The 23,556-nt window shown below is 42.9% G+C and overlaps 1 protein-coding gene across 8 annotated transcripts in view; it reads right to left on the bottom strand.

Annotated features, from left to right (window-relative positions):
• IGF1R (insulin like growth factor 1 receptor) overlaps positions 1–23,556 on the bottom strand; it is a 315,992-nt gene that overhangs the window by 87,042 nt on the left and 205,394 nt on the right. Inside the window, exon 1 of one of the 8 annotated variants that reach the window (XM_011521516.3) lies at positions 1–23,556. This exon is cut by the window's left edge and continues 12,980 nt beyond it. The exons of the other annotated variants lie outside the window; for them this stretch is intronic. The gene's annotated coding sequence lies outside the window, so the exon portion shown is untranslated. 8 annotated transcript variants of the gene reach the window in all.

Below are 23,556 nucleotides of genomic sequence, written 5' to 3'. Positions count from 1 at the left end.
GCTGCTAGTGCCATTTTTCTTTCTTTCCCAATGCCAGAAGCAGAAACAGGTATCTCATTTCAATTCTGTGGCTGTTGGTGAGGCTGGATTATCTTTTTCACACATCTCTTGGCCATCTGCATTACCTGTGGCGTTAACTTCTCTTCGTGTCCTGGGTCCATTTTCTTCCTTGGATCTTAAGTTTGTATTATATATTTAAATTTGAGCTCTTAAAGAAGTACATGCTTTTTAAACACAGCATTGTGCCTTTAACACTTTTGTTTTAGATGGCTTTGTGATAAAATGCCTTTATGTGTAAGTCAGTCTCTCTCTCTCCCTCTGGGTCCCTCTCCCTGTCATAATTAAAGCTGCCAAGAAGCATGGACAGCAACAGCTACAGATCAGTAACCTTGAAACTTGTTTATTTCTTATCTTTCCAGCTTCTCTGGTCACCTCTCCTTTGATCTGGTTACTTTCTGATGGCACACTTTTGGACTTGTAAACATTTATTATAGAGTATACATTATGCTTAAATGCTACACTACTCTTTTCCATCATCAAATCTGATTGCTGGCCCTATCTCCTGAAGTTAAAGTACCTTTTACATTGTGCAGAAATCACAAAAGATCAACTAGACTTTCAAAGTAAACTCTTATCCAGGATGGAGAGCAGAACAGAGTATCCCAGATAATCATACATTCTCGTTAACAGAATTACCACATAAGCCTCATGAGAACCAGTTTTTTGGGGGAACTGTACCAAAGAACACTCCCACCTTCAAAAATACATGGAACTTATATTTAATCTATCTGATGATTCAAAAGTGCCTCGGAAAAAAACATACAAATGTAAAACTATCATCTTTGGAATGTTCTCGCAAAGATTACTACTAAAAACAAAAACAAAACACTTGCCATTCCCACAGAATTCTGTTGGCTCATATTTTATTTTGCTAGTTTTTATTTTTGTGGGTGGTAGAGCTGGTGGTAGTGGGGCTGTGCACTTGATACAAGTATACCAGCCTTGCCAGAATGCATTAGAAGTGCTAAAACCCCATCTTGGCAGTACAAATCCAATCATATTGGCAACTCTCATTTCCTCAATTTCAACTAGGGAAAAAATCTGACCCCACACTTTATAAAACGTGGATGAAGGATTTCAAAGTTCAAGACTCTCTCTCTCTTTTTTTTTTTTTAACTCTTAATAGTTTTCTTTTTTTGTAGATGATAGGTAAAATTGGGTTCAAATGAAGAACACAGGCATCCCATGAGTAAAATCCTAGTTGAAGAGTGAATTTCACCTGTAAATGCCCAATGGAGATGGCCTTCCAGCAACCTTCTGCTTTTTCCAATTAATTAGGAAACATCTGGGAGTAAATTCTTATTTGATCCCCAAACCATTAAATATCTACTATTATTTCCTGGTTTTAGGTATTCGGTTCATTCCAGACTATCATGCAAATTGTAAAGTGAATTATTTTGCTGCTGGCCCACCCAACATCACTTACAGTTTTAGGAAAGCTGGAACATGAAGCCAATTATGACAAAGCCTACTGTTACTAAAAAGTAGCGTGGAAAATTCAAGGGCTTTCCCTTCAGACGTGATGCGTATGAGGCCTGTCATCCATCCTATGCCCCGGCAAACTATCTGACCACTCTGGGCCAAACTGAAGGAGGTCACGCTTAGAGAGTCCTAGCACCGTGCTCCCAGATCCAGTGGGCTTCTCCTCTCTTCCTGCTGGGGAAGCCTTCACCCCAACCCCACAGCCTCATCTTTTAATTGCCTCCCAAACATTAGCTGATTTTCAGGGATCAAAGGAATTTGCTTTGAAAGATGAAGGAACTTAACACTTAGAATAACTATAAAATCAAAACAAGCAGGGCAGCTCTACAGTGGAAAGCACACGTGATCTTTCATTCCATCCTTGGTCTGAACACTAAAGCCATTCTCAAAAAAAAAAAAAGTTCATACACATAACTGCCCATGCATCCACATGCTTTGCAGACACGAGAATGTGTGAAGTTTACTTGCTCAATGAAGGGATCAGTAGACAGCAACTTGTACAACACATGACTGTACTTCCCAAATTAACTTCTTAACCCTTTCCCTGAACACCGTAAAAACCCAAACTGGCCAAGTCACCTAAAAAAAAAAAAAAAAGAAAAGAAAAGAAAAGAAAGAAAGAAACTAAAAGGAATCTCAAGCATAAATCTCTTCTTCAAAAATCTTATCCAACATTCTGGACTTGAATAATCTGAAAACAAAGATCTGAAAATGTTTCATTTTTTTTTTTGGCCTTCTTCAAAGAAATAAGCTTTGTAGGAACTTTGAGATTCATGTCAAAACAACTGCTGTCTCCCGAAATCCCGGAGCATCCTCGTCCCGGAGCCGAGGACCTGGGCAGGCCAGAGGGCAGAAGCTGCAGGCTGCAAACTGGTGTGCAACATCCCTGAGGATGTGTTTGTGTTTTACTCACAGAGAACAAGTACTGGCAAGTGACAAAAAAAGAACATGTTTTGCAAACAATCAGTGTGACCTGAAACCCAGGGTAAAGGCTGAAGTCAGCATTTGTTCACTGCAGCACGAGCCAGGCTCTGCAATGCTTGTTAAATGGAGTGCTCTGGAGAAGAGAACGGCTTCTCAGTTTCCCCCAATCACCCAGAGGACCTGGGAAGGGAGGGGAAAAGGAGGGCCGACTCCCCACCCCCAAGCTAGGCTGTATCAGTTTGTTCTGCTTCACTGCAGAGCTGGAGCCAGGGAGCATCTTTGAAATTAGATGAATGCCCAATGGAAGGGGTCTTCGAATTCTGGAGCTGAAAGCAACTCAAGATCACGACATCCAGTCAAATGTCTTCACTTGGCAGATAAAGTGAAGACCAGAGAACCAAAGCTATGAAAGCCACACCACTCACAAGAGTTGGGTTAAACACCCAGGTCCCCAGCCTCTGAGCCCACGGCTCTTGTCACATCACGATGTCCCCAGCTCCCCTACTTCACCGAAAAGATCTCTCAATCTTTAAAGCATATGACCCCTTTTGACAAACAACCCGCAAATTTTCTTTAATACTGTTGGAAATGTTGAAATGGACTGCCCTCCTCCAATTTCCAATTCTGAAACTGCCTATTGAAAACGTTTTTCTCCCAACTGCACTTGCTTCCCACCCTGCCAAACAGACTTCTGCTAGTCTAAGTAAAGCCTCTGAAGTGCTTTTCCCCAACTGCACTCTCCTTACTCCTATCTAAATAAACAGCACCCGAACTTCTCCTTAAGTCCACTTTTTTCTTCTGCTTCACAGATGGGAAGACTTGCTCTTCCTAAATTACCATTCTCACCCCATGCAAGAGCTCTGCCGGGCCACCAAAGATACATTTTGGACCTGTTACTTCCATCCTCCTGCCCGCCCTGTCCACATCACATGCCCATAACTCCTCCCTCCCTCAACCCCCATCCTTTGAAATTTCTAAACCCCCGGCAGAGGAAGCGCCGCAGGGCTCTTAATAAGCTCAGTCATGCTCGAAATATCTGTTTCACCCACGAGGTGTGGTAGGCAGCAGTTCTGACCGGAGCATACATTTAGGGAAAAGATTATCTACTTCCAAGACTCAGTATTTGGAATTCCTAAAAATGCCACTTATTCATTTTCATTAACATACCTGTGAACTTGCAACAATTTTGAGGGTTGAAAGGATACCATCTGTAATAGCCAGCATCCACCTACACACATGGTAACTGCAGCAGGTTAAGAAATCGCCCTTTCTGTTGGTGTGACCACAGAAAGATATTGCATATTGCAACTCTCTTTGCCCTGGAACTTGCAAAACTTACAGGAAATCTTCCACCACCTACATAGAAAATCCACTGCCAGAAAAATGAAGTGTAAACACTTTATATTAAATTAGCCAGAGGCTTAAAGAAATCACATCCCAATCCGATATTTTCAAATTCTGGCTCACTTTCAAGTTTTATGGTGCACACAGGAGCAGAGGCACAGCGGACACATGACTGCCCTCTGCAGAATGTTTTGTTTTTTCGATGAAGAGAAATAATCTACAAATTAGTATACAACTCAAGCTACCTAGAGAAAGCAGCCAGCGATCTTGCTTCCTTTATGTGGGGTTTCTTGTCCATATCTTTACACTGGACTAGGATGGCCATCAAAAATACAAATCTATTTACCTAAAGAGAAATCTTGAAGCTGATCCTAAACTTATTGGAGATTTTTTTGAAAAAAAGTATCAGTGAAAATACAGAAAGAATAGGAAAAAGTGGAAAATGTTGATGTGCCTCAGGTTATTACGTATAACATGCATCAATAAGTCTTGTGAGATATCCCATGTAAAAAAATTTACCAGCTGCTAACATTGTCATTTACCCCAACCCCTCCCACTGGAGCAGCTTTACCTTCAGGGTGCACATCCCCTGAAGTGGCCCCTTGACATCCTTGGCTTGCCTTCAGGGAGGAGGACATGATGACGCGAGGTAGCATTCCTCTGTACACAGTGTCAAAAATATATTAAAAAGCAAACAAAACTACCAGTCCAGAAGCTATGCTGGCAAAATTTAAAGCAAAAAATTTAGAAACAGCCTACGCCCATTTATATGCCAGCCTGGCTGCATTTTTAAGGGCACAAGTCATGTCTGTCTGTCTGTTTTGTTTTTTTTTTTAATTGGTTTTAGGGAAAGTCAATGTTTAAAATTTTAAGATGCTTAAGTTCATCCTCTGCTTAGGAGGCAGAGCATGGGGATGGCAGGCTGTGCCCATGCAAGAACAGGGACTCTCGGGTTAGAATGAAGTAAGTTTCTATCCCAGCTTTGTCATTTATTGGCTGCTGTGTATCAGAGGGACTTGTTTTCCTCAGTATACACATAAGACAAATTTCACCTGTGCTACTGGTATAAGATGAAATGTGGCAAACCACGGAACTATACTGAGTATGTCTCCTGGCGGATCTTAGGTACTCTTTAAACATTAGCTACTATTATTATTTGATCCCTAGACTGAACTTCTAGTCCTGACTCTGCTAATTCTGCCTGCTCAGCTGAAGTGTACATGGGGTAGGAGAGATGTCCAGTCTCGCATTATGACCCGCTGGTCTCTCATCCTTGGAGGTGTCCAGTGGATTATAACGTGCTGGGAAGTGGGTAAATGGGGAGACCCCAAGCCATGTCTCTGATCAGTTCATATACTAGTAATCCACAGATTTAATTTCCAGGGGAGGGCTATGTGGCAAAGAAAGAAAAAAAATCATAAGACAAGATTCTAAAATATTTCAAATTTCACCTCTGCTCAAATGAAAATATTACAAATTCTAGTTTTTCAGCACTGTTCTTCAATCCATTCGCTCGAAAATAATCTTCATTTAGTGCAGGTTGGACATGGGTTTACCCAAGACATCATTTGAAGGCCCAGTATAGTTCAGATGCTATTGTGAAGGGTCTTCAGGATGCAGGTACCCACTGGGGTGGTGGAGGTAGGGTGGGGGCTGAGGCTGCCAAGAAAGCTTTCAACTTCCACTAGGAAGGAGTTCCTTTTAGACAGGGAAAAAAGTTTCCCATGCTTCCAATGACTTTACTTGGCTCTTCAACAAACAAACAAACTCCCAATACAATGTGCTCCTAAATAACTTTATTCAACTTTTACACAGTGATATGGTTTGGCTCTGTGTCCCCACCCAAATCTCATCTTGTAGCTCCTATAATTCCCACATGTTGTGGGAGGGACCCGCCGGGAGCTAACTGAATCATGGGGTGGGTTTTTCCCTTGCTGTTATTAGTTAATATGTCTCACAAGATCTGATGGTTTTTAAAATGGAAGTTTCCCTGCACAAGCTCTTCTTCTCTTGGCTGCTGCCATGTGAGATGTACCTTTCACTTTCCGCCATGATTTTGAGGCCTCTCCAGTCACATGAAACTGTGAGTCCAATAAACTTCTTTCTTTTGTAAATTGCCCAGTCTTGAGTATGTCTTTATCAGCAGTGTGAAAATGGACTAATACACCCAGATTAGATGAAAACTCTCTGGACGTAGCAAAGGGATCCAGAAGCTCCTTCCTCTGTGGTAAGGAAAAGACTTCCTACAACCAATAAAGAAACAGGTGAAGAAGCAAGTCCCTTGTTATTAATTACTGGGCTGAGATGGAGGTGAGTGAGAGGTAAATACCATTATGATACCAAATTTTAGGACAGGCATCCTGAAATGCTCTAACAAATGGACGATGCTAAACAATTCTATTCAACAAGGTTCTGCACCTAGTTCCTACTCTCTGGTTCAATCAGAGGTTACTCAAAGTTACGGGTTCACCGGAACAACTTGGATGCTTGCTTGAGAGCTGGGTCTAAATATCTGCCATTATGACTTCCCAGGTCAAAGGAATCTCTTCCTGGATCAGTGGGCTGGATATCTGAGTTGCAAGCAAGAACATACGCAGGCTGTTTTCTGATTGAAAAGAGCACTGGCTTTGTGCATGCGCGCCCTGGGCCAGCTCCTGGGCATGGAGGTGGAAAGGACAGCCAACTGGCTGGTGCAGCCGTCAGACTGCCCAGTTCTCATGCCTCCCGCACCTCCACTATCTAAGACCAACTGCTCTGCTTCACAAAAAGTCATCCTGGTGCCAGTGCCATGGGAACATTCCTTCACTCTTGCTCCATCACTCAAGGCCATTGCAACGGAAGGGAGTATGTCAGGAGTACATTGCCCACCTGCTTTTCTCAGATTTCCCCTCTCTGACCCTGTATCAAGGAAGTTGCATTCACTCATCCATTTGGCAAAGATTTCTGTAATTTCCTGGTATGGGCACTCTTGAGCTTCTGGGATGCGGCTGTGTCTGCCTGTACTCCAGGTTCAGAACACAGAAGCGCTGACAGTACTAAATCATGATGGGGATACACAAACACACACACACATGCACATCTTTTCTCTCCTAGCCCCTGCTCCAACCACACTGGCTGTTTTCTTTTCCTTGGAAGGAAGCAGACCATTTCCTGACTCTGGGCCTTCACACACGCTGTTCCACCTGCCTGGCTTATGCCTCCTTGCACTCTGGACCTGCCTAGAGATGCCTTAATGACCTGCCTGCTGGATGTCATCATTCCCAAGAGGTCTCTCCTGACCGCCCTCTCTGAGTAGGTGCCATTCCTGCAGCCCCATCATTTTATGATAACATCCTTCCCATCTCCTTCAAAGCACTGATCGTGTTTACAATCAAAGACTTATTTTTGTTTTTGGCCAGGGCCTAGGTGGAAGAGAGAATGAGGAGTTACTGTTTAATAGGTACAACTTCAGTTGTGCGAGATGAAAAGAGTTCTGAATATAAATGATGGTCACGGCTGCAAAACAATGTGAATGTTCTTACTGTCACTGAACTGTACACATAAAAACGGTTGGATGGTAAATTTTATGTTATGTGCATTTTACCACAGTTTTTAAAAGACTTACTTTTAGGTTTACTGCCTCTCTCTCTTCCACTAGTGTACACTGTACTAGGGCAGGAATCCTGTTTTTTCACTGTGTTCCCAGGGCCATGCTCAGTATATACTTGTAATGCACACATTGTAAGCTCCTTGCGGGACACCATTCCTTATTTTTATTTGCCTCACAGCTCCTCCCAGAGAGCCTTACACACAGATAGAGACAGGTGTTAATTTAGCCCTGGACGACTACATAGGCAAACTTTCCAAAAGCAAAGCCCTTGAATTGTATATAAAATGGGGGGAGGCAGGTGTGCACATACAGACTTTAAGATGTCTCTTCTTCTGCCTTGGCTTACAAGAATCTCAAGGGAGTGCGGTGGTTCATGCCTGTAATCCCAGCACTTTGGGAGGGTGAGGCGCGTGGATCACCTGAGGATGGGAGTTCGAGACCACCCTGACCAACATGGAGAAACCCCATCTCTACTAAAAACACAAAATTAGCCGAGTGTGGTGGCACATGCCTGTAATCCCAGCTACTCGGGAGGCTGAGGCAGGAGAATCGCTTGAACCCGAGAGGTGGAGGTTGCGGTGAGCCGGAGATCGTGCCATTGCACTCCAGCCTGGGCAACAAGGGCGAAACGCCGTCTAAAAAAAAAAAAAAAAAAGAATCTCAAGGGAGCCAGGTTCCAGGAAGAATAATCTTCCTTCTCATGTGGTGTGGTCGTTGCCAATTTGACCATACAGGTCCTGTGTAATACCCATGCGGTATGTGGTGTTTTTTTTTGTTGTTGTTGTTGTTTGTTTTTTTTAATTGAAAGCTGTCTCGAAATCTCTTTGGAATTAGACAACATATAAATGGAAAGCAAGTAAGTCCAATAATAGAAGGGAGTTTCCTGGCGGATAAGTACTTTCCTATGTTTCAACAGTCAACTGTTATTAAATAAATAGACGATGACAAGAATAATATGAAAAAATATTTCCTTGCCCCTTCCTCGAAAAAGAGAAAAAAAGGATAAAAATCTGAGAAACCACTTTTAGGAGATGAGCAGTAAAATGAACCAGAGGCCTCTGGCTGCATTTCTTTGCAGGTTTCCCCAGGAATAACCCAAAGAAATAATCTAACCTATGCACAAGCCCAGCTCTCTCACAGGTAACACTTGCTTCTGGGCAGACCAAAAACTTTTTAATGAAGATAATCCTCTCTCAAGGGTGTGAGATGAGTCAGAGCTGCAGGTACTAGCAGGGAAGGGAAGAATGAATGTTTAGTAGTAGTAGGAAGGTACCTAACATTTACGGGGCACTCACTGCTACCCGTGCTAAGCGCTTGGCATACGCTGTCAGATTTCATCTGTGCAACAAGCCAAAGAGGGAGGGCCTGCCGTTCCCATCTTCAGAACCAGAGCCTGAGGCACAAAGAGAGAGTGTGTGTGACTTCCCAGAGTCACACAGCTTGAAGAAGGCAGAGCTGGAATTCCAACCTGGGCGACCTGACTTCAGGGTCAGTGCTTCTAACCAACAGGCTACAGGGCACCTGTATGCGCCACAGAGTTTTCTAGCGTAATTCTCGTAACTCGTAGGAGAAATCAGCATTATTTCCCCAGACTGAGGGTCTAAGAGGCTGTATCTTGCCAAGGAGACAGAACTCACATACTGATTGCCAGGAGCTTGCATAAGGCTCATTTCCATGCCTTAAAGATCTGTCAGGGCCATTCTAAAGGACCCCCCCCCCAAAAAAAAAAACCCAACAGATTTGGCTTTTTTTTTTTTTTTTTGGAGACAAGGTCTTACTCTGTTGTCCAGGCTGGAGTGCAGTGGTGCCATCATGGCTCACTGAAGCCTTGACCTCCATCTCAGCCTCCCAAGTATCTGGGACTACAGGTGTGCACCACCACGCTCTGATTTTTTTTTGGAGACAGAGTTTCACTCATTCTTTTGCCCCAGCTGGAGTGCAGTGGTGAAATCTCAACTCACTGCAACCCCCAACTCCCGGGTTCAAACACTTCTCTGAGTAGCTGGGATTACAGGCATGCACCACCACAACCATCTAATTTTTGTATTTTTAGCAGAGACGGGGTTTCGTCACGTTGGCCAGGCTAGTCTCGAACTCCCGACCTCAAGCGATCTGCCCGCCCTGGCCTCCCAAAGTGCTGACATTGGAGACACGAGCCACTGCGCCTGGCCTGGATTTGGCTATTTTAAAAAGTGGAAACTTTACTGCTATGCTTAACCTAACTTCAAAATATTTCTCAATTATTCCTACTTTAAAAATACTACAATTCACACAGTTGATAAAGCACAGAATTAGCACCACATCAAACATAGTGTTTAATCACAATGGCTTTAAAAATATATAAAGTCAAAAAGCTTTTAAGTTCTTATTAAATATTTGTTCATTTAACACTTGGTCTACCCGTTTGTAAGGCATGTCAGGCAATTGTGAGGGCTAAGAGACATACACAAGGCACACAGTCAGATGCAGGTGATGAGATGTACACACAGATAATAATTAGAGGTAAGGATTCACGTCATAAAAGATACCTAACGGGAGGACAAGAACACTTCCAGCCAAGAGGCCCACACGATGGCAAGGCATATGCAAGGCAGGAGTGTGCAAGCAGTGACTTTAGACCTAGGCAAAGGAGCCGTGGGGACTCAAGACTGGCAAGTGGTAGGGGTGGGGCTTCTCGAATTTATGTATTTCAACAGAAAATTATAAATCACTACTCATATTAATATATAACTTAAAATTCTTAAAAATTAGCTCAGTGCTTTTTGCCTTTAAGAAATATTTTAATTAAACAAACCCAATTTGTTTTAAAACTTCACAGAACGAGGTTCAGAAAGTGGCTTTTGTTGCTGCGCAAAGTTGATGCCTACGGATCATCTATTCCTAAAGTTGTTTAGAATGGGTTATTTCTCTCTCTCTCTCTCTCTCTCTCTCTCTCCCCCTTTCTCTCCTGGCACAAGGAAGTTTTACACCATCTACAATCCCTCCGTTAGATTAAAAAAAAATAAACCTCCATTGTGAGAGGCGCCATTGGTGTCTGCCTCCTTGTCTTCCAGTCACAAATGGAGAGGCGGGCTGAAGAACAGCTTCACTGCTCAGGATGTCATGAATTTAAAAAAGTGTAGCAATGGTGCTTGGCCAGACAGAGTGGAAAACAAAGCCTCAGTCATTTGTTTAAACAAATTCACAAAAACAAAAACACTTCCTCCACGTACCCGTACCCAGTGAATTCTAAAAAGGATCACACATTTAGTATGACTTTTAAAACTTTCACTTTCACACATTAAAAACAACATGATGGGAGCAAACAAGCGGACATCACCCCTCACTCGTGCTTATCTATTTCTGGTTTCATTAAGCTGCCGAAACGACCGCCAGCGCTTCCTCTCATCCCAACAGGAAAATTTCATGGCTCCTGAAGGTCTGAGTCAGACTGGAAAGCTCATGAATATTCTGAGTTTCTGGAGCTGATGCAAGGACGTCACTATAATTGATGACCAGGCAGAGCTATCTACTACACGTTTGAACCACTCCTCTGAAATAATTTATCAGAAGTTAGATTTTCGTTTCTAAAGCTATTAATAACAAGAGTCTGTTTCTGATTTTTAAGATGAAGTTCAATCTTTCAAGCCATTCTGCTTTTCAATAAATTCCCTCTATTTGCAGAGGCCCGCATTAATATACTCCTTGCTTTACTGCATTTTAATAAAGGTGATGAGAAAATAAACCGAAGAGAACCTGAAGCTTCCCACATGCAATGGGAAGAAAGCAGCGTGCTGCAGATTTAAATCAGGATCTGCATTTACTGGGTACACGGAAGTGAAGAGAGTACGTGCATCTGTGTGGTGGCGGCGGGGGACAGAGACAGAGGCGTCTTCCTGTGGACGGCAGGAGCGTCCTGGGCTGTTCCGCTGAGATTTGGGCTCTGAGTCATGGGGTGCTCGCGTGGAACAGTAAGACCGAGTTCAACTGAGAACGCCCGCACGTATCCTATGTTAATTTTTCTTTTGCAAACACATTTGCATCTTTTACTTTCATTTTAAACTGCGCCCCGTGCATATGTGCACTACCAACCCATCCGGGTGACGGGCAAGTTGTATCTACTCTGGGAGCCTCCTCCTGCCTGCGAGGCAAGTGGCGACCCCAGAGCGGGAGGTGGGAGCCCCCTTTTCTTACGGTTCTCGGACCGCAGATTTTCCATCAACACTCAATTAGGTTTAAAGATACACTAGGGTGTGTACTGAGATAGTTCAAAATGATTTCCTTCCAACATAAAATGGATCGTGAACCACGGGAATCCTGAGCCCTCCACTTCCCAGCGAGGCAGCATGACTGGTGCTGTGAGACGGATCCACCAGTGATCGAAACCGCGTTCTGCTAGGGAAATTGAGGTTTGGACCACGTGGTCAAGGACAAATGAAAAACCTTTTACGCATTTCCAAATATCAAAATTAAAGAATTAAAAGAGAAAAAAACCCCAAGGAGTTCATATCTTCCCAAACCACAAAGCCACGCCCGGGCCCCACTCCCTTTTCTATCCACTTTAGCACATGCCGAAGCCCAGCGTGGCCTGGGACCACGTGAGGGACGGTGGGCGTGGCCGGGGCGCAGTCACGTGGCCGCTATGCACGCCGAGCCCCACCTCCAGCCAGCCCCTCCTTGGCGGCTGCAGGAGCCCAGCCAGCGATCCAGGCGGCGTTTCCAAACCCAGATCCACGCCTGTACCTGCAATGACTTACAGGATATTTTAGGAATTAGTCCAACATATCCTTTGGGATATCCTTTGGGGTCTGTAAGTAATACTCAAATAGATTTTACCTATCTCGCTGTATTCTGCAGCCAACTTTAAAACATTCATCTGGAAACTGCAAACACAAAATAACCCTTAGTGCATGATATTGTGAATTCTGTGCCCGTCTCCCCTTCAAAAGCTATATAGTATATACTTAGTACACAAACTAACTCAGAATCATGTATCCTACTGTAAGGAGTCCTCTTTGGTCCAGCAAGCATGTGTGATCTGATACCTAGCCTACTGAGATGCCTACGATTCTTTTCTTCACATCTCCCAAATATAACAGCTACATTTCAGACTCCTAAAATTTAATTTGGAATGAGTTACAAATATCAGTGAGGAAAAACGAGGGCCACAGGAAGCTTAGTATAGCTTGCACGCTCTTGTGTGAGGGCCATAATAAAATTACAAACTGGGATGGATTGCATGATATTTAAAAAATTTAGCCATTCGGTTTCATCAAACAGAAGCATGAGATTTGATAAAATGTTACACTTGAGGAGTATAAATCTTTTTTATTTTAAAAATAATAGAAAAGACCACATAGAGTAAAATCAAAGAATACAACAGACAATTTTTTAAAACTTTCTTTTGGCTAAAGAGTTATTTTTAGGCTGAGCGCTGTGGCTCCCGCCTGTAATCACAGCCCTTTGGGAGGCCGACTGGAGAAGATAGCTTGAGGCCAGGAGTTCAAGAGGGACCTGGGCAACACAGACCCCATCTCTACGAAAAATTAAAAAATTAGCTGGGCATGGTGGCACACGCCTGTAGTGGCAGTTACTCAGGAGGCTGAGGTGGGAGCATTAACTTAAACCTGGGAGGTTGAGGCTCCTGCTCCAGTGAGCTATGAGAGCAACACTGCACTCCAGCCTGGGTGACAGGCCAAGATGTCTCAAACAACAAGTGATTTTAGTATTTCAGTGATGGAAAATTCTGAATAATGATTTCTTCATACCAATTAGATTTGGGACTGCTGAAATTTAATTAAATAGGGGGCCTCCTCCAACTTGTTTGCCATGTTGGTAATGTTTGCCTATTTATTTGAGACAGTGTCTTGCTCTGTTGTCCAGGCTGGAGAGCAGGGGCATGATCACACCTCACTGCAGCTTTGACCTCCTGAACTCAGGTGATCCTCCCACCTCAGCCTCCCAAGTAAGTGGGACCACAGGTGCATGCTACCATGACAGGCTAATTTTTTTTTTTGTAGTGATGTGGTTTCCCTATGTTGCCCAAGCTGGTCCCAAACTCCTGGCTCAAGCAATCCTCTTGCCTATGGCCTCCCAAAGTGCTGGGATAACAGGCATGAGGCACCACACCCAGCCACGTTTATTCTAAAAGAGGAAAGCAACACTTTGAACACTTCTTTTAATTACAGCTTTAAAAACTCAGAAATAAAATGTCACATGATAAATTAAATTCATGGTGTTGATGTAAACCTTCCCAACCCATCTCAAGCATCTGGGCTGTGCTTCAGAGTCAGTTCCCCAATAGCATTCTCTTGAGTATCAAAAACGAGAGATTTGCAGCCAGGACCAAAACTATGAGACTATTTTGGCAATTAACATCTCCTGTCATCTTCTTCACCTCCTTTGTAGGGAGAAAGGGCAAGAACATTTCAAATAACATTCATATGTGGGATTTCTTAAGCTTCTGCATATTTTTTCTTCTTCATGTGACTAGTAATTGTCCTCCCAAATAAAAGTGGACTTGCCACTGCTAGTTAAAAAGTTTATGTCCCTCACTGTTAAAAAATACATAAAATCCTGAGAGTAGAATCCAATTACTAAGTGTAGAAAACAGAAATAGAAAATCACCATTTGGCAAACATCACAGTAATGGATGTTAAAATTAGTGGGTGAAAGAATAATGAGGAACAGAATGCTTGTTTAGATAGTCTCAAGTATCTACCTCCAAAAGATTCTTCCTAATTACAAAGAGAAAAATAGTAATGATAATGGAGGAAGCCACAGAGACCACCTTAACTAAGGGATCAAAGCTAACAGCACCAGGAAAGGAAACATCACGCATCTCCTGACAGGATGCGCAAAGACACAAACAGCAGCACCTCTGTGATCTCCAAGTTAAAAATGTACCCCCCAAATTTAATCAGGAGGAAACATCCACAAACTCTAACAGAAAGATATTCTACAAAATAACTGGCCCCATGTTCTCCAAAAGTGCGAACTTCGTGAATGACTAAAGAAAACCCAGGAAAACGTCCCAGAATTAGAAAAACTGAACACAATAAATGCCAGGTAGGATCGTCTCTTGGATCTGGAACCAAAAAAAGGGACATCAGTGGGAAAATAGTGAAATCCGAATTCAGTCTGGAGATTAACAGCACTGGAGTATGGAGTGAACACTGTTTTGATAACCGTATTACGGTTATGTAAGATGTTAACATCTGTGGAAGCTGGGTGGAGGGTGTTCCAGAACTCCTGGTACTCTTTGTAACCTTTATGCAAGTCTGAAATTATTTCAAATTAAAAAGTTAATAAACGTTTTTAAAAGTTGATAAAGCAAAAGAAAACAACTTACAGCATGATCATCAACTAAGTTGAGAAAAAGACCTTTGAACTATAAGGATACATGCAAATCAATAAATGACTGACAAACTCAAAAATCCCACCTCCAATGATACACTTAACTTTGCATTCCTTGCACTTGAACCAGAGTTACTAAAAGCCGTGCACCTCAAGATAAAGTCACTGATAGCTTAATAAATAAGGTGAATCCCTAGTTTAGAGATATGACAAACCTCTACTTTTTACAGATGATTCCTAGAGAAATACTGTTGCTGGAGTTTATTCAGGCTGGTAGAGAACCGGGCATCCCAAGTTGAGGGCCCTTTCCATTCTGACATATTGCCTAGCATTTAATTTAGCTTAGATTTGTCTTCCAGCGAGGTGCAAGTGGGAAGTTAAGATGGTTGAAGGATGCAAAGAGGAACAGTCAACAAAATGCACGACAGAAAATTATGTGCGACTCTCCTGGATCCTTGTGACAACTCCTTGTCCTTTTTCTTCAAATGTAGTGAGAACTGTGTTTTTCTAACTTGCCCATATACCCTGCTCTATCATCTGCTACAGATAATATATGCTTCTGCTCTCTGCATGTTATACATAAAACAGATCAAATTCTTTCAACAGCAAAAATCTTTATTGCATTAGCAGAAATTTCCCAGCATCATAAGCCCTACAGTTTCCTGATCCACCACTATGTGGTAGGGAAGGCAATAAAAAGAGTTTGTCAGGGTTTCACCCAAATCTCATCTGAAAAGCTTGATCTACTTTTTTCCGGAGACCAGCCCCAAATGAAATGATCCTCATTGGGGAATAACAAAAAATTGAGGCCAAAAGTGAATGTGAAAAGCTACCATTTTTATTTTGTGTTCCCAGCATTATGGGATATGCAACAGAAGATGAGAATTCTGCTGTCAAGGAATGTACAAAATCCTTTTAGGTACATGTGCCCTATTTAGGCAGTATTACTGAAAGGAAAGGAGTGAGCGTACCATGGATTTGGTCCGTGCCTTGTACCAAGAGCCATGCTAAGGCTTCTCTGATTACATCCCCATAAGCTCCTTTTTACAGAAAGGAGACTAAGGTGCAAAGACTTGCTGACTTGTCCAGCATCAGAGGCTCAGAGGTGGTAAAGACGGGATACAAACCCAGAATGTCTTCACCCCAGGATCTAGGCTCTGTCAGACCATGCTGTCTCCCAAATGAAAACAAGTTTTGCTTGCAAAGGCTGCAACAACTAGGAAGTATGTAGTAGAGGGTGGAAAGCTAATGTCCCCTAGAAGCAGGGCCTAACCTGAGAACTGCGAGAGAGGCCATGGAGGTTGGGGTTATGAACACTAAGGAGCACCAGCGCTGCATGCAGAGGGTGTAAGGGTCCTCCCTACGCGGGTCAGCATGGTGAAAGAGAAGGACTAGGAGGGCGGAGCTAATAGTAGGAGGGGAGAAGACCGATAACAAACTTCTTCAGAATGTCCCTGCATGTATATTTATCTGAGAGGAAGGTGTAAGGAGGCCCTTCTAAAATACTATGTCATTGAACTAGGTGTGCCAAGGTCTTGTATATAGCACATCAAGGGGAAAGTGCATTCATTTGGAAGATTTGTTTTTTCACTACTGAGTTGGGCTTCGATGTGGGTAAATGAGTTACATTCATTTAAATTATTCCAGCAACTATCATGAGAGAGACAGACTGAGACGGAGAGATGTTCAGAGAAAGACAGAGACATAGATGGAGGGAGGGAGGGAGGGAAGAAAAAGAAAAAAAAATCATGCAAAGGAATAAATTTATCACACATTTATACCTCACCTTTCCAGAACTCAACTATTCAGCAAATAAACATTTCTGGGGTAGTCAAGCACCAGGAAGAAGCTTGGTTTCACTTACTGCCTATTTACTCTTAACACATAACTCTAACAAGCTTAGAAATCTGTTTTCAAAGCACTCACAGCAAAAAGGAAGTGGCAAATAATCACCTACAGAGGGGCTGATGGAGACGGCTTTCTCTTCTTACTGAAATAAGTCTATTAAACAGAAATGGAGACATAAAAATGGTAAAACCAAACCATAAGAACACAATAAGCACAAGAAACCTTCAGCAGAGGGCAAACTGCCTCCCACTCAGCCTTGAGGGTATCACTGTATTATGCATAATACAACAATTTATGCTCGCTGATGTCCTCAAGTTGGCCAGAAATGACTAAATTATATTCACTGGAGTAAGAAGCAAAGAAGTACAGAATACATGTTGGAAAGATTTCCAGCATGATAGTGCACAAAAACTGGTGCAGTAGTCTCAGTTCTCCCTAAGGCTTTAATGTATTTCATCATCTGGTCATTGCTCGATCTGACAAATATTTACTGAGCATATTGGAGAGACTTGCTGTGAGAGGCCTGGCTCCTGCTTTCACGGAGTTCAAAATCTACTAAGAAGCTGAGATACTCAAGATCCACATTTCTACTAGGATGGTCTGTACAAGGGTTTGGATTGTTGTACTAAGTGCTGCGCACTGACTCCGAAAATCATGACTTATTTTTGGATATGAGCAACTGAAATTGGCCTAAATGTTAAGAAACGGTGTGCCATTTCAAAAGTCTTTGATCATACAGTTCAGAGTCAAGGATCAGTCAATACTTCAAGAAACTCCAGCCTGGCCAACATGGCGAAACCCCGTCTCTACTAAAAATACAAAAATTAGCCAGGTATGGTGGCACATGCCTGTAATTCCAGCTACTCGGGAGGCTGAGGCAGGAGAATTGCTTGAACCCGGGAGGTGAAGGTTGCAGTGAGCCGAGATCGCGTCACTGCACTCCAGCCTGGGTGACAGAGCAAGACTCCATCTCAAAAGAAAAAACTTCAAGAAACTACCCATGTGGTCATGAAACCAAGAAGCAAGGCATGCTGCTTTGGCTGCACAAAAATATACAGTACAGAAGACCAACAGAACCACAATTCCTGAATTTCTTTCTCTTTATTGAAGAAATTAATTCTAACACATACACCTTCTTATATTTAGGCTAGGACATCTTATAACTAAATCAATCTATACAGTTAATCATGCATTTAAGAATGTGTGTGTTTGTTTTTTAAAGTGATATTTATTAAAAGGAAAAATCCTGGCTATCTGGACACTGAGAAATGCACAAGCTTGCAAAAACCGTAATTTAATCAGAAAACCCAGATACAGTAAAGTTACTTTTCATTTTCTTTTTGTTTCAGAAACCTTGCAAGAAGTTCTTTCCCTTCTTGAGGGCAAAGCTTACGAACTGGAAAGTTTCATTTTAATGGGTTCTTTCTTGGGGCAAAAACATGCAACACCAAATATTCTAGAGTGTCTGAGTGCAAACATCGCAGATGCAGTAGTGCAAAGGAAAAGCAAACACTTTAAAATCAAGTATGTCTTAGTTCAAATCCTGTGTTTACCACCTGCGAAGTGTGTGAGGTAGACAATTTATTTTTCCAGGCTTCCATTTGTTCTTCCGTAAAACAATGTTGGTAGAATCTACCTCATCGGCTGTTGCAAAACTAAATGAAATGTGCTTTCAATACACTGGTCATAATTATGCAGGTGGACATGCTGAATTTTTACACCGATCTCAATATACATGGGCTTTGTAACTGCAATGATAGCTCAGTGGAGCTCAAACTGGATGTGTTTCTAAAAGTCCAAAAAAAGTTTGGACTTTTTTTTTTTTTTCCTCCATTATGACATTTTACTTCTTGCTTAGATGAGAAGCTAAACCCTCCCCGGAGGCTGGGCTTCCTAATGAGCAGAATAAAGTTCTAAGGAACAACCACAACAGAACCAAAGGGTAGACTGAAAGTAGAATTCTGCCATTGAGGAGGCTTACTGGCCTTCCTCCCTTAAAAGCGTGAGCCACTATGTGGCATGTTCAGACTCCTTCAAACATAGCTGGTCCCAGATGTCACACGAAGTTTGGAAAGAGGAAGTTTGGCTGTTCAAAAATAAAAGCAGGGTGCTGATAAGGATGATGATGCTACTAAAACAGAGTGAGAGATTTCTCCCCGCAAACCCTGGCCACGGAGTGCTGTGCTGGTTTGCTGCGCTGAACAATGGAGGAGGAAGCCCAGGCGAGACCTCGTCCACGTTTATTAGCATCCTGAAAGGTGGAGTCTGTGCCTCCGAAGCCCAGAGTTCTCTAAGCCTTTATATCTCGATTAAATGGCTGAGATTGTCCTTGTGTACTTGGGTGGATTGATGTTATTTCCAAAGCATGCAATTCATTTCAAGAGGGGAGAGGGAGGATTAAGTTGGAAATATTTTTCTATTCAAGGAGGAAAATTAAATATAACTGGAAATGTTTTCAGGAAAATGTTTTTATATTTCAATGTTTCCCCAGAGCACTGTGATCCCAATACATCACAGGACTGTGCTAGATTAAAAGGAATGAAGACAAAATGAATTTAAATAAAAACTGAAACTGACCAGCCAGGCTTTATTCTCCATATCTGAGGAAACAACGAAGCGGGGGGAAACTACAAATGAACCAAAACAAGAAATAAAAATCAACTCAACTAAAATTTTAAACTCAAATGAGTGTTTCAATTTTGTTTTAGAATTTTTTCAATCTAGTTTATTTTCATAGCCACAAAAGCTTTTGAATAGCCATGAATTGATAGCCACTTGATTGACAGAACCATTAAGACTTTTTTGGTTGTTTTCTCTTAATCATTTTCCTTAACGCTTGAATCCGCTGATACTCAGTTACAGAAGACGACTTGCTTGTCTTATAGTTCTTAGGTCATTACAAGTACTTAGTATTTGCTAATAATCAACACCAACAGCTCCAGGAAATGTGTACAATTAGACAGCTGGTTTAACTGGTTGTGTTGCATTTTTTAAAACGTGCATACCACCCCCTTTATGAGCCCTAAATATGACAGGAAAAATGGAATGTACAGGTCTCAGTTATCCTTATCAAAATAAACACATATTTTTAAGAGGAAAGAATTTTGTCAGTTAATCCTGTGTTAGATCTGTGATGTCCAGTAGCCATTAGCCACATGTAGCTATTCAAATTTAAATTAAAACTTTAAAAAAATCCAAAATCCAGTTCCTCCGTAGCACTAGCCACATTTCAAGTGCTCCATAGCCACATGTGGCTAGCGGCTCCTGTACTGGACAGGGCATCCACAGAACAGTCCATCATGGTGGAAACTTCCACTGGACGGTGCTAGACTAGATGGAAGAACGGAACTGTGAGCCTTGGGTATTTACATTTATTTTTAAAGACGTAGGCTGGGCGTGGTGGCTCACGCCTGTAATCCCAGCACTTTGGAAAGCCGAGGTGGGTGGATCACTTGAGGTCAGGAGTTCAAGACCAGCCCGGCCAACATGGCAAAACCCCGTCTCTACTGAAAATACAAAAATTAGCCGGGTGTGGTGGCACATGCCTGTAATCTCAGATACTCAGGAAGCTGAGGCAGAAGAATTGCTCGAACCTGGGAGGTGGAGGTTGCAATGAGCCGAGATCGCACCACTGCACTCCAGCTTGGGCGAAAGGGTGAGACTCTGTCTCAATTAAAAAATAAATAAATAAATAAATAAAGATGTACACAAAACAGTTTAATTGTGGGGTCACTTTATAGAAGCTTCTTTAAAGCATCAGCTTTCCAACTGCACACAACTGTTTCCCCTAAGCAACTTCCAAGGCACAAACCCAGTATACATTCTCTCCTAAGCATTATCTCAGTTGTACATTCGATTGTAGAATATCTTTCTTCCTTAAAAAAAAAAAATCTCTCACCCAAAACTTAAGAGAAAGGGGTCATTTACAGGAGAAAGGGCAAATCATTATTTTTAGATGGAAAGACCTCCCTAAGTCAACATTTAAATATTAAAACATGTAGCAGGTAGTACCAAAGGGTTTCTCCTTCATCACACTTGTATTTCTTTACTGTCGAAATTCTCTGCCCAGGAGTCAGCTCTGTGTGAGCTGAAAGCAAGTGTTCTGTTTGCTATTGCACATCCATTACAAGCACAGTGCCTGCCTGGGACAAAACAGATGCTTAAATTTTTGTGGAATGATTGAATGAAACTTAAGAAGAATGGTATTTTGCTAAAGAACAGCAAACATCCTTTTAGAGCCTGGTTCCAATTCTTTATATTTGGATAGCAATCCACCCTTTATTTTCAAATGCAAACTTAAAATAACTTAGCAGACTGATTCATGCAAGTATGCATGCTACAGCTCAGTATCTTTAATACTCAGCAAAAGGCATACAGCATCTATGTCACAGTAAAATATGAGCTAACATTTATTGCAGTTAAACACCAGGCCCAACGCTAAGTGTTTTACATATGCTATTGCATCTGCCCCTCACTCTGATAGTCTCTCTGCTACCAGGAGGAGGAAACCAAAGCTCAGGGGAAATTAAGTGACTGGCTCAAGCCACAGGGCTAGAGATGTATAGTCAGAAAAGCTCCCCTGGTGAAGACTATGGACGATGCCCGTCATATAGCCTGATTGGACAATTCCTGCTTTAATCAGGAAGGCTACGATTGTCCTCGTCTACAAGGACCTGCCTCCAAGGAGGGGCATGGCTCTGGATCTTTGCAGCCCCAGAGCTTAGTTGAGCACCTGCCCTGCAGGCCTCCCACATATTTTTGTGGAGAAAGACTCAGCAGTCCTAATGGCTTAAGGCTACTCAGACTTGGAGAAGGCCCCTTCTACAGAAGCAGGCACAGCTCAGCACACCCCGTCTCCCTCTAAACCGAGGCTGTGGGGAAATCACTGTGACCTTGCCACTATACAGCAGCTTCATGCTTTGGCCACCGTGTTGCAGCCTCTACGGCCACTCTGCTCTAGTAACTGGCCTCCTTCTGCAAACTGACCAGCTGCACCAGCATCACGGGGCTGGCAGCACTTCCATTATTCTTTTTCTTGCTATTCAGAATTTCAACCTAATAACTCCACTGTTTTAAAAACACAGTGCTTTAGCAAGAACCTGTTGTGCTCCAAGTACTGGTCAGACAACTGCCTTTAAGGGGCTCACTTTCCTATTTGGCCCAATTCCCTCAGATTAGGGTTTCCAGAAGTCTGACCTATAAGCATTCATTTTCATAAAAACCACTACTGACAAAGCAACAGGTTCTAAACGTATACATTAAAGAGCTAATTTTTTGTTGGATCAATATTTGTCAAGGGCTTGCCAAGCGGGGGTACAAAAGTATAATAAAGGACATCAATCCATGTGGGGGAAAGGTAAACAAATATTAATCAAGTCCCTAGTGATTCTACATAATTCTCTGTAATTCTTTCTGCAGTCCTATAGCATAGATAACATCTCCATCTATGGATGATAAAAAGCACTGCTTGTAATAACTCACTTCCTAAGTACCTGCAAGGCACGAATTCAGGGCCAGGCACAGTTAATCCTCATAACTCCCTCAAGGAAAAGGTATTACTACTTCCTTCTCCAGAAAGACAGGCTCGGGGCGTCTGTCTGGGTCCGAGGTGCCCACGCTGGCTGAGAGCGCTGAAGTGGAGTCAGACACACAGGCCTGCCTGGCTCCACAGACCATGGTGCCATTAAATGAGACTGTCCTCACTCTCATGGGGGGACACAGAGAAAGCTCCCCACCCCAACCACAGGAGGAAAAGATGACTGTGGGAGAACACATCACCATACAGCATCAGTGTCCCATTAGCGCGGAAGGCAAGATTGACAGGAAAAACAAACAAGGAAATAGTACAGTGGGATGCGCAGGGGCTGTATGAAGGTGGTTCTAGAAAATGGGGTGGCCTGGCACAGGGGCAGCCATTCCAGAACTAGGAAGGCAGGGTAAGGTACTCCACATGTGTTGGGGGGGGCAGGGGTGGAGGGAGTGAGAGGGGAACAAAGACCAAGGCAGGCTAAAGTCAGACCGTGTAGAACCCAAAGCCAGGCCAGGGTACTCGTACTGCCTCATGCAGGAAAGGGGGAACCAGAACACTGGGGCAGGGATTAAAGTAGTGATGGGAGATTCACTGGGTGTCACTCAAAGCTTGTCTCAAGTCACAGGGCTCTTCTATTCCCCCGACTTATCTGAACAGGAGAAATCCTCTTGGCTCCCAGACCCGCCTGCCCTGGCATTCTCCCGCAGGGAAACATGCTTTGGTTGTTCAGACGTGACTTACTGGCACTTAGAGGCTGTTGGCATGGAAAAAATGAACAGGCTGACCTGGCCAGAAAGGAGCAGGTGATGCAGAAACCCAGCAAAAGATGAATTCACCCTGCCACCCTGAGTAAATTACAAAGCTCATATGAAGGGCCGCAGAAGAAAGAATGGGAGAGATGATTTACCAGACAGAGAAGGGGAAGTCTCAGCCCTAGGCACCTCATGAGCCCAGGAGAGTGCCAGGCAAAATCCCTAAGGCACTTCACTGAGTCCTACAACCTCGCATAGACATCACTGTGCTCATCTCAGGCAGGGGACACCCAGGCTCACTGTGGCGAAAGCACCTGGCCCAGATGAGTAAGGGAGAGAAGCCGGAGCACACATCACTGGAGCACACTTTATTACAGTGTCTTTCTGCCTTCAATCACTTGCCCAGTTTTGTAACTTCATAAGAGAGTCATGATGCCCAGAACCTCATGGCCCCGGGGCAAAACTCTGCACCAGCTCTGACACTCTCCTTAACCTGCTGTCACCACACGATACACAAGAACCATTCCTCTCAAATCACGAAACAAAGGTTAAACATATTCCACCAATAATACCACGATATGCATTAATTCCATCAGTGTGGAAAACTATTCCTTGTGGGAGAGGGCGCACAGACAGACAACTGGAAGAGAAAAAAACAGAGAGAAATCCAAGTCAGATGTTGTGCCTAACTT

Source organism: Homo sapiens, chromosome 15 (genome assembly GCF_000001405.40).
Source record: "Homo sapiens chromosome 15, GRCh38.p14 Primary Assembly".
NCBI lineage: Eukaryota > Metazoa > Chordata > Mammalia > Primates > Hominidae > Homo > Homo sapiens.
Note: the sequence above shows the minus strand (reverse complement) of the source record. Positions and strands in the feature narration are given on the sequence as shown.